At 38.2% G+C, this 12,114-nt stretch overlaps 1 protein-coding gene across 5 annotated transcripts in view, besides 2 other annotated features; it reads left to right on the plus strand.

Annotated features, from left to right (window-relative positions):
- The window catches only part of PTPRO (protein tyrosine phosphatase receptor type O), a 275,824-nt gene that overhangs the window by 205,207 nt on the left and 58,503 nt on the right, over window positions 1–12,114 (plus strand). The gene's annotated exons all lie outside the window — the stretch shown is intronic.
- Window positions 6,744–6,833: an enhancer, noted in NCBI's record as "active region_6067". NCBI's record gives its function as "activates an Ori minimal core promoter by ATAC-STARR-seq in GM12878 lymphoblastoid cells {active_cell/tissue: GM12878}" and the evidence as "EXISTENCE:reporter gene assay evidence [ECO:0000049][PMID:35858748]".
- Window positions 7,249–8,448: an enhancer, noted in NCBI's record as "MED14-independent group 3 enhancer chr12:15687897-15689096 (GRCh37/hg19 assembly coordinates)". NCBI's record gives its function as "activates an origin of replication core promoter dependent on BRD2, BRD4, P300/CBP and CDK7 cofactors, and independent of MED14, by STARR-seq in HCT116 cells {active_cell/tissue: HCT116}" and the evidence as "EXISTENCE:reporter gene assay evidence [ECO:0000049][PMID:35650434]".

The following is a 12,114-nucleotide window of genomic DNA, read 5'->3' on the forward strand; positions in this document are numbered from 1 at the left end:
GTAGGCAGTGATCTAGTGGTAAATATTTGCTAGGCAAACATAGCCAATAAAAGACAAAACAAGGCAAGGCAGACAAAGGAAAGTGGACTAAATAGTTAATTATTTAATGCAAAGACATAGTTCTATGCCCATAAGAAACAACATCAAACAGGGAACTGTGACCCGCCCACGCTACCCAGGAAAAGGACAAAGCAAAAATCCAATGACTGACCCTAACAAGATGGTGATCTGTGAGCTCTCTGAACAAGAATTCAAAATACAGTTTAAGGAAAATCAGTGATGTCCAGGAAAACACAGAAAAGCAATTCAGAAATTTATCAGAGAAATTTTTAAATCAAACAAATTCTTGGTACTGGAAAATACGTTTGCTGAACTGAAAAACACATCACAGCAGAATGGACAAAGGAGTGGAATGATTCAGGGAGCTAAAAGCCTATCTGAAAATACACCATTGGAGGAGAAAAAAGAAAAATAAGACTGAAAGTAAGTGAAGTCTGACTATAAGATATTAAAAAAAAAAGGCTGGGCACGGTGGCTCACACCTGTAATCCCAGCACTTTGGGAGGCCAAGGCGGGCAGATCACGAGGTCAGGAGATCAAGACCATCCTGGCTAACATGGTGAAACCCTGTCTCTAATAAAAATACAAAAAAAAAAAAAAAATTAGCCAGCATGGTGGCGGGTGCCTGTAGTCCCAGCTACTCGGGAGGCTGAGGCAGGAGAATGATGTGAACTCAGGAGGTGGAGCTTGCAGTGAGCCGAGATCGCACCACTGCACACCAGCCTGGGTGACAGAGCAAGAATCTGTCAAAAAAAAAAAAGGTATTAAAAAAACCTTAAAAGATCAAACATAAGAATTATTAGTATTCAAGGGGGAGCTGAATAAGGAAGTTTACTGAAAGAAATAATAATAGAAAACATTCCAAAACTTGAGACAGGTACAAATAGCCAGGTTCATGAGGGTCTGAGAATACCAAACAGATACCACTCAAATAAAATCACCCCAAAGCGTATAATACTCAGACTCTCAAAGGTCAAGGACAAAGAGAAGATCCTGAAAGCATCAAGAGAAAAGGAGCAAATAACAGGTAAACAAGCTGCAATTCACCTGGCAACAAACTGTACAGGCCATGAGGAAGAACATTTTTACAGTGCTCAAAGAAAAAAAACTGCCATCCAAGAATAATGTATCCAGCAAAATTGTCCTTCAAATATGAAGGAAAGATAAAGTATTTCTCAGAAAAACAAAAGATGAAAGAATTCACCACTACCAGACCTGTCATACAAGAAATGCAAGAGAGTTCTTCAATCTGAGAGAAAAAGACACATGCGAAAAGAAAACTTTTCAAGGTATTAGACCTTTGGGAAAATTAAATGCATGGACCAACCCAGGATATTCTGTTACTGTGATTGTGGTGTACAATCCATCCATAACTCTGGTATAAAGCCCAAAAGACAAATCTTTTAAAAATAATAATAGCTACAGCAACCTGTTAAGAGATAGGTAATGTAAAGCATGTAAATTGAGGCAACAAAGTCAAAATTGGGTGGTGGAGAGAGATGAAGTTAAATTTTTAGGTGTGGTAGTTTTGCTTTTGTTTCTATTCTTTTGCTCATGATCTAAGATAAGTTGTCATCTCTCTAAAGTAACTTGTTATGGCCAGGCATGGTGGCTCATGCCTGTAATCCAGCACTTTGGGAGGTCAAGGTTGGTGAATCGCTTGAGCCCAGGAATTCAAGACCTCATCTCTACTAAAAAAAAAAAAAAAGGAAAAAAAGAAAAGCTGGGTATGGTGACACATGCCTGTGGTCCCAGCTACTTGGGAGGCTGAGGCAGGAGGATCACTTTAGCCCAGGAGATTGAGGCTGCAGTGAGCTGTGAGCTGTGATTGTAACACTGCACTCCAGCCTGCATGACAGAGCAAGACCCCCATCTTAAAAATAAGCAAATAAATAAATAAACTTGTTAAATCTATAAGATTTTTTATAAGCCTTGTGGTAACCACAGCACAAAATCATATAATCAGTTCATTAAAAATAAAAAGCAACAAATTAATACATAACACTTAATAATCACTTAACCACAAAATATGAAGAGAGGATTCTCAAAACAATCTGAAAACAGGCAACAAAACGGCAGTAGTAAATCCGTACTTAGCAATAATAACACTGGATGTATATGGTCTCAATTCTCAATTAAAAGTCACAGTGTGGCTGAATGGATAAAGAAATAAGACCCAACTATATGCTGCCTTTGAGAAACCCACTTCACCTGTAAAGACACACAGGGACTGAAAGTGAAGGGGTGGAAAAAGATATTCCATGCAACTGGAAAACAAACAAGCAAAAAAGCAGATGTAGCTATGCTTATATTAGATAAAATGGACCACAAATCTAGAATTGTAAAAACAGACAAAGAGGGTTACTATATAATGATAAAGGGATCAGTTTAGCAAGAGGATATAACAATTATAAATATCTATGCACCCAACACTGGAGCTCCTAAGTAAATAAAGTAAACATTAATAGATCTAAAGGAACAGATAGACTTAATTACAGTGATAGGAGGGGACTTCAACACCCCACTCTCAGTAACGTATAGATCTTCCAACAGAATAACAACAAAGAAACAACAGAGTTAAACTACACATGAGACCCGATAGGCCTAATAGACATTTAAAGAACATTTCACCCAACTGCTATGGAATACACATTGTTTTCACTGCACATGGAACATTCTCCAGAATATATCATATCTTAGGACACAAAACAGGTCTCAACAAATTCAAAAAGTACATATCATATCAAGTATCTTTTCTGACCACAATGGAATAAGACTAGAAAGTGGTAACAAGAGAAATCTCAAAAAATAAACAAACACATGGAAATTGAACAACATGTTCCTGAACAACCAATGAGTCAATGAAGAAATTAAGAAAGGAATTTTAAAAATTCTTGAGACAAATGAAAATGAAAATACAACATACCAAAATCTGTGGGATATAGCAAAAGCCATAGTATGAGGGAATTTTATAGCAATAAATGCCCTTAATATAAAAAAGTAGAAAGTTCAAATACACAACCTAATGATGTACCTCAAGGAACTAGAAAAGCAAAAGCAAACCAAACACTAAATTAGTAGAAGGAAAGAAATGTAAAGGTCAGAGCAGAAATAAATGAAATTGAGACTAAAAATAAATACAGAAGATCAACACAACAAAAAGTTGGTTATTTAAAAAGATAAAATCAACAAACCTTTAACTAGACTGAGAAAAAAAGAGAGAAGACCCAAAGAAATAAAATCAGAAACAATAAAGTAGGCATAATAAGAGACCTCATAAATACAAAGAATCATGAGAGACTACTATGAACAGCTATAAACCAACAAATTGGAAAACTAGAAGAAATGGATAGATTCCTGAACACACCTAATGAGACTGAACAATTAAGAACAAGAAAACCTTAATGAACCAATAATGAGCAGTGAGATGAAAGTCATAATAAAGTCTCCTACCAAAGAAAGCCCAGGTCCTGATGGCTTGACCCCTGAATTTCACCAGACATTTAAAGAAGGACTAATGCCAATCCTGCTCAAACTTTTCAAAAAAGCTGAATAGGAAGGAATACTTCCAAATTCATTCTGTAAGATAATATGCCAAGAAAAATAATAGGCTGTGGATAAGGAAAAACAGATACTTTAACATTCTTGCAAATGAACTGGATCTTTTTGTGTAGTGTAATGTCAAAATAATTCTTTATATTATGACATACAGCTGGAAAGTGACTGTGTAGCATACAACTGGAAAGTGACTGTGTAACACAAAACACATCTTCTACATTCAAAAATTGACCATTTATTGCGGTATACATTTAGTTTCTGATACTTATAGGGAAACTCGAAGACAGTATCCTAAAATCTGCCACAGACAATGGAGGATGGATTGACACAAAGTTGTGTGATAGACCTTTAGAGACAGTATGACCGAAAGAGTGGCAACCCAAAACTAAATGCATAATTTCAATATGTAATTTTCACAGCAGAGATTTTATAATTTTCATATTTCAAAAATTAAGTTTATCTAATGGCAATAAAAGTGTTTTCCACATAGTTAATGCAATTTAGTGACATCATTTTTTAAGATGTCTGCTAATTTTTGTGTCTGAATTTGTTCATAACAGTCTCAAGCCATCTCTGTTATTACATGTGTTCATATTAGCAGCTGTAAGTAAAGACTAATTCGTGGTTGTTTTATTAGTAGCTTAAATACCATGGGTAGTATTGTTGGCAGTGATGTACTTTTAGAAAAATTTTAGAAAATCTAAAAAACAAAAAATACGATCTTTCCTCAATTTACCCAGTAATTGCATTTCTCCAGAACTCAATGCATAGGTCACTGAGTCTTAAATTTCTTTGTCTCCTATTTGCCAAGACAAAAGCTAAGTTTTTGTGCTGAAATACTTTAAAATTGTATAGGTAATTTGGAAATATGTGATGTGTTGATTAGACACTATGGAAGTAAAAATTATAATATTGAATAATTTATAATTTTAAATACTATCTTAATTGGATTTAAATATGCCTTTTCATGACAACTTTCTTCTAAATTATTTTACTTAATTTCTTTTTAAAAACTTTCAATATTATGTAGCAAAGTACTTGCAATTTACACTTATGGTGGATTTTCTCTGGTATGACATTTGAAAGTCATGTGGGATGTGGGACATGGGACAATTTGTCTTTTGGTGTCCTCTTAATAATTCCAGGACGGCTAGCATTTCTAAGTCCTGACCACAAAAGAACAGCTAATTCCCTCTGCTGTGACTAATAAAAACATTCCTCCAAACTTTCAAACACCCTCAAGGGGGCACTAGTGCCCCAATTGAGGATCAAGGGTTGTCTCTTACCTTTCCTGCACTGAAGGCAATCTGCTCTTCCTCCCTTGTGGTCTATACTTAAATTCTACGAATGTGGAGAGCACCAACTTCCAACTTTGCATAATCTTTCTATTAAGAAAAAAGTTGCCTGTCTACCAATTCCAGCCATTATCTCTGACTCTGACCTCTGTGGGTGTAAAGGGCCGTTCAAAAACTCATTTCCAGGTAACTGTAATTACTTGAAGATTGAGCTCATATTCCCAATGTCTTCCTTTTTCCAAGCTTTACTAATACAGGAAGCTATTAAGTGTTTCTCAGGTCCTAGCAGCTTTCTCCAACTCATTTGGTTTTTCAGTCTCCCTTAAAATTTAAGTTCAGAGGTGGTCTTATCAAAGTAGCATTTAGTGGGCCTATTGGATACTTCACTGAAATTTCTATGTGACATCATGGTCGAAGGTGCCTCAGGAATATGAGTCAAAGTCATGAACTAGTACAACTGTATCTACATAGGACTGTGAGTTAAAACCATGATAGTTTCCCAAACTTATCAAAATGTTTGGAGTCTCCATGTCTCCCTGATAATAGAATGGACTATGTAAACCAGCTTGGAAAATTTATTTAAACTTTACAAGAAGGAAAGTTGAGTTTTCATGGAAATTATTTCTAGTTAATGTAACCCTTAGGATCAATAACCTTTTTCTTATTGGTATCTTAAATATCAAATGGAATATTGTTTCTATCTTATTCCTCTCTGTAGACAAGACAATCTTTTTATGATGTGCCTTTCTTATTTTCTTGAAAACATATAATGTTGGTTTTTATCCTTTAGTCAAAAGATCTGTTCTACTAATCATGTTATTGTGTATATAAGCCCTTTCCATTTTATATAACACAATGCCTGAACACCTATAACTGCTTAACAGATACTGTTGAATGAATTGAAATTGCGGACCTCAAAGTTGAACATAGTATTGCAGTTAATATTTAATCGGAACAAGTTTAACCTTTCAGAGAAGTGAAATAATATCTTGCTTTAGTAGTACCTGAATTGCAGGTTTTGTGTGTGTTTGTGTGTGTTTTTTACAGAACTTTCATTCTAGTTGTTTTATGTTTCTTCCCAGCATTCATTTTGATATATATAGAAGTCATAGTCATTCTCCTTTAAAGAAAAATACAACTTTGGCACAGATTTTTCAGAGCATGTTTGAATCAGAATGCCATTGTTAAAGCTGGGGCCGTAACTGGTTGGGCTAACCTGCAGTTCAATTTATCTATAATAGAGGCCTCTTTAGAATGCCTCTGAATGACTCCTGTGTCATGGAGGGTAGGTTCTACCTCTATAGAAAGAAACCAAACTACCAATGAGTCCAGTATCATATAAATTAATCTAATGTGTCATGTGCAAGGGTAGAGAGCCCTCAAACAGTTGCCAATAATTCTCAACATTGTATCATCAATAAACATCCATAAAAAGAAATGCACCAATAATGGTGCTTTTCCCAGGATGTTGAACCAACCATCCCATTAGGAATTTTAGGTTGCCAGCAGTTTCACGAAACTTTGGTGGTATGTGGTGACAGGTCCCTTTGACAGTCAGTCATTACTATCTTCTAGTCTTGGTGAATCAACCTGGATCCCTGGGCCAACTTTAAGAGGACATGTTAAGTCTACATAAGATAATCAGTTTCCCAACCTTAAAAAAAAGAAAAAGAAAGGAAAGAAAAAACAGGAATGAGACGTGTTGGACACATCACAAATAGCTCTCTGGTAATAGAATATCCATTCATCAATCCATTTAACTAATATATATTAAGAACCTTCTAAGTACTACTCAGATGCCAGAGTACTTGTGGTAGTCGTGATGGTAATGAACCCAGAGCGCTACTTTCACTTTCTGTTCACAAGGAGCTTATGATCTAGTGAAGGGGAAGATGGTAATAGTGCTGTACAGTGCTCTACAACAGGGAAATGTGGTGCAGAATGACTGTGTGGTCAAAGCTTTCTTTGAGGAAGCCATGGAGGCTATGGTCTGAATAACAAGAAGAACCAGCCACAAAAAGGCCAAGAAGGAGGATGCCAGACAGAGGGAACAGGCAGGCCTGAGTATAGATCTTTTAAGGCATGCAGTTGGAATATTATCTTCAGAGTAATGAAGGGCCATTTAGAGAACTTAAAATAAACAGTCCGATTTACATTTAAAACAATCCCTCTGGTTGCTTAATGAGAAAGGGATTATTGTATCAACAATGAAAGTAGGGGAACTAATTAAGGGGCTATTTGTGCCAGCTTTAAAAATTATATTCTAATTCAAAGAAGTTGCAAGAGAGTGATGGTAACTTTGACTACGGTGGTTGTAATGGAGATGAAGAGAAGTGGACAGAATTCAGGAGCTCTTTTGGAGGTTGTGTCCACAGAACTTTCTGATACGGCAGAAACACGAAGTGAGGGAAAGGGAAATTAATGACTCCCAGGCTTCACCCTTGAGCAACTAGGACAAATGGTGGCGCAATTCACTGAGATTGAGATGACTAGTAAAACTACAGGAGGAGGACATTTAGGGTGAAGTAAGAATCAAGGATTCTTCTTTGGATGTAAACAAATTTAAAATGATTATTGGATATCCCGGTGCAGATGTGAAGGCCAGGGGAGAATTCTGGGCTGGAAATATAAATTTGGAAGTGTCTGGATGAAATCACCAAGTAGTAAGTAAAGACAGGGAAGAAAAGAGAAGCCCTGGATCAACTCTAGAGGAGCCACCCCAGCAGTTAGAAATTCAGCTTAGCAGGAAGCATCAGAAAGAGAGAGTGGAAAGGAACAGCTAAGGAGGTCAGAGAAAACAAAACAAAACAAAACAAAAACAGAATTGCACACCACCATCATCAAACTTATGCTTTATCCTGACCACAGACATGTTCGGGCACGTTCGAGATAAGGAATCATATAACTTTAGTGCTAGGAGAGCTTTTGGAGATAATTCAGTGCTATGTCCTCATTTGAACAAGCTGGCGCTTAGAGAAATGTGACACGCTTTATACATTGCTAGGTCTTGGTCCAGAAACAGTCATTTCGTACTTTTTATCCATCTGCTGCTTCTATTCCTGGACTGGGGTGTGGCCTTTTTCCTTCAAACTTCATTTTTTCTATTAAAAAATTTAACAGAACAGGGAGGAGCCTCATACCCACTTTTGTGACTTTCCGTTCCTCTTTGGAATTTGGTCTTAGGGACATTGGCTTGATTTTCTTAATCTTACTCATACAAACCTTTATAGAGATTAGAAATCTTTAAAACATAATTTGGCTATGGACAAGAAAAAAATCAAAATACTTTGAAATGTTAAGTATTTGGGGGATAGTAGGCTTTTTCTCTCTGTCTCTCTCAAATATGGTTATAGATACATAGAAATCTGTAGGCTGCCAGTCAGCTAGAAAGAAGCTAATAAAATGCTTAAGGTCTTATACTTTTTTAAAAAATTATTCATCCTGTGAATCAGAGAATATTTACTTAGCATTTACTATATGCCACACACTATTCTTGGTTCTGAGCATACAGAAATGAACAAAACTGACAAAAATGTCAACCCTCATTCTAATGGAGAAAAGGAGATGATAAACATAAATATAAGAATGTTAAATGGTGATAAGTGTCATGGAGAAAAGTGAAAGAGGAAAAGAGGATAGGAAGTGCTGTGGGGGATGGGTGCAATTTTTGTGAGGAGTAGAGTAAGTGTCACTGTGAAGGTGATGTTTGAGTCAGAGCCTAAAGGAGATGAGGGAGTAAACCAAAGAGATCACTGGGATGAGATTCTGTAGGCAGAAGGAACCACAGGTGCCCAGCTATGGAAGCATAGTGTTCCTGGCAAGTTCAAGGAAAAGTCAGGCAGGCAGTGTGGCTGCAATGGAACAAACAAGGTAGAGAGCCATAGATACAGGGCAGAGAGGTAGCAAGGGAACAGACCGTGTAGGGTCATTGAAAAGACACTTTCCTGTGAGTGAGATGATTCTCCATTGCATGCTTTAAGCAGAGGCGCATAACCTAACGGGTTTCACTGGGTCACTCTGGTGATAATAGATTGTTCAGGGCAAGGATAAGAGCAGGAAGGAGCCAATTAGGTAATATGACCATACATCCCTGTTGCCTTAGACAATACCACTTTGCAACTCTTATGGATTATTTAAAAGGCAGTAATCCTCTTTAGGATTTGGGGCAAGGCTTTTCTGCCCCAAAAGTGTTCCCGTGTGGACATTTTTGATAAATTACATGGTCACCTTAAAGTTTAGAGAACACTGAGTCTGTCCAGATAAGAGATTATACTTGTTTAGGTCAGACTGGGAGCCACAGAGGCGATGAAAAGTGGTCAGATTCAAAATTTATTTTGAAGGTGTTGCTGAGAAAATCTGCTGATGGACTTAGATGTTGTCTATGAATGAGTAAAAGCAGCCTAGAGACACAGCAAGATTTGCGGCCTGAGCAATTGGAAAGACAGAGGTTTGATTTATTAACTTGGAAAAGATTATGGGACAGGCTGGTTTGGGGCAATGTCAGAAGTTCAGGTCTGGGTGGGTCAACATTTTGAAGGTTCCTATGAAACCATTAAATAAATACTGAGCAGGCAGTTAGATAAAGGAGCTTGGATTCAGTGAAGACTTCAGGACTAAAAATATAAATTTGAGTGTAGGCAGGCGACAGATGTGATGAGTTAACAAAGACTCAATAAAGAAAAAATAATGCTATCCAGGAACTAAGCCCTGGGCCACTCCAACTTTAAGACATGGAGATGGTGAGTAAAAACCAGCAAAAGAGACTGAGGAGCATTGGCCAGGGAAGCAAGAAAGAGCACAGAAAAGTGTCCTGTCCCAGGAGCCAAGGGAAGAGAAAGCCTCAGCGAGTGGAGATTGTCCAGGTCAAACCTGTGAACAAATCTGGTAAGATGAGGAATGAGAATTGACCACTGATCTTAGCAGCCCAGAAGTCACTGGTGATTTTGAGAAGAGGCATTTGGGTGCCATGGTGACGGGAAAAAAAAATCTAAAATGCACAGGAGCTAAAGAATAGAAGAATCCAAGAATTTTTGGTAGTTTTTTGTTTTTATTTTGTTTTCTTTAAGTGAGTGAAAACAGCTTGTCTGTAGACTAAGCAAAATGATCCAACAAAACAGAGAAAACTGTTGATGCAGCATAGTTAGAGGTGAGACTTGGTGTGATGTCCTTGACTGGAGCAGAGGAGATGGAACCCGGGGATCCAGTGGAAGGATTGGGTCTGGATATATCTTCAGGAAGACAATGACAGACAAACAGACAGTATGGGCATTAATGGGATAGTGAGCAGAGTGAAGATCATGATAGCCGCTTGTGGATGGTTTCTTCTGATTGACTTCTTGTAAGATAAACACATGCATGTTCTTTAGGTTTGCAGGGGGCAATACCTGCCATGCTACTCTTCTGATATATACCTCCATGGCCAGCAGCCCCATGCAAGCATTGTTTTCTGATTTAGGTTCTCAGTGACAGCCATGCCACAGTCCCATGGCTCTGTACCTGGGCCTGACACTAACCAATCCCTCGCCTCAATATACCCCTCCTCACTGCAGTCTTCTGAGTGTCACCATGGTTTGTCAACTGCCCAGAGGCATACCAAACCACTTTAGTGCTTCTTTTTTTTTTTGAGACAGAGTCTTACTCTGTCATCCAGGCTGGAGTGCAGTCTCTGCTCACTGCAACCTCTGCCTCCCAGGTTCAAGCGATTCTCCTGCCTCAGCCTCCCAAGTAGCTGGGATTACAGGTGCGCACCACCACGCCTGGCTAATTTTTGTATTTTTAGTAGAGATGGGGTTTCACCATTTTGGTCAGGCTGGTCCCGAACTCCTGACCTCTTGATCTGCCCGCAAGTGCCTCCCATAGTGCTGGGATTACAGGCGTGAGCCACCGCGCCCGGCCCACTTTAGCACTTCTCTAAAGGCATTTCTCCTGCCCATCATAAGGTACTGCATATTCTGCAGGTACATGATTCTCTCCAATGTATTGGAAGAATCTGAAGGAGGGACACATAGGGCAATGACTGTGAAGTCTGGCATTGACCTAAATACACAAGCAAGTGCCCACTCTGGAAAAGTTGGTCTTCTAAGCAAAGGAATTTTTCTGGAGGCCTGGTCATCCCCACTTATATGCAACTGACTGGGTAACTCGCTGATTGGGAGGAAAACAGGTGTAATAAGGACCCTTGATTAGGAGTCCAGAGGTGTGGATCCCAGTTCTTGCCCTCACAAACAAATTGTGTTACCATAGCAAAGTAACTCAGACCCTCTGAATTCCAGCTTCCTATCTATAAAATGAGTCTGGGCTAGATGATCTTTTATGCTCCTTCAACTTTTAGAATTTCATTCCATACCTGAGTTCAGAATAAAAGCAGCAAGATTAATGATGCAATGAAAGTGCTGATCTTATTCTAAGAATTTTGCAATATATGACTCCTAACAAAATAAAAATGCTAAGTAAAAGCACATGCTCCTGGAACCACTGAAAAGGAGGTATTCAGATATTTGTTTTGAAACTAAGTGAAGAGAATCAGAAGGGTGAGGGGGTGGGAAGTGGGTGGATGATGAGAAATTATTTAGTAGGTACAATGTATGTTATGTGGGTAATGAATACCCTGAAAGACCTGATTTCACCACTATGCAATCTATGCATGTAACGAAATTACACTAGTATCCCATAAACATATGCAAATTTTTAAAAATTTAAAAAAAAGAAAGTAATGTTAAATGGGAGCTTTCTCTGAAAAACTCTATTGATCTTTAGAAGTTACTTAAGGTACTAAAACTATCAACCCATCTAGTGATTCACAGAAGAAGATATTATACTTGCTATCTCTAAGCCTTAAAGAATATAGGTAAGGCTGGGCACAGTGGCTCACTGCCTGTAATCCCAGCACTTTGGGAGGCCGAGGCGGGCAGATCACTTGAGGCCGGGAGTTCGAGACCAGCCTGCGCAACATGGTGAAACCCTGTTTCTACTAAAACTACAAAAATTAGCTGGGTGTAGTCGTAGGTACCTGTAATTCCAGCTGCTCAGGAGGCTGAGGCAGGAGAATTTTTTGAACCCGGGAGGCGGAGGTCGCTGTGAGCTGAGATTGCGCCGCTGCACTCCAGTCTGGGTGACAGACTGAGACTCTGTCTCAAAAAAAAAAAAAAAAAAAAAAAAAAAAAAAAAAGAATATAGTTAAAAAGTAATGCAAATGACAGAC

Source organism: Homo sapiens, chromosome 12 (genome assembly GCF_000001405.40).
Source record: "Homo sapiens chromosome 12, GRCh38.p14 Primary Assembly".
Classification (NCBI taxonomy): Eukaryota; Metazoa; Chordata; class Mammalia; order Primates; family Hominidae; genus Homo; species Homo sapiens.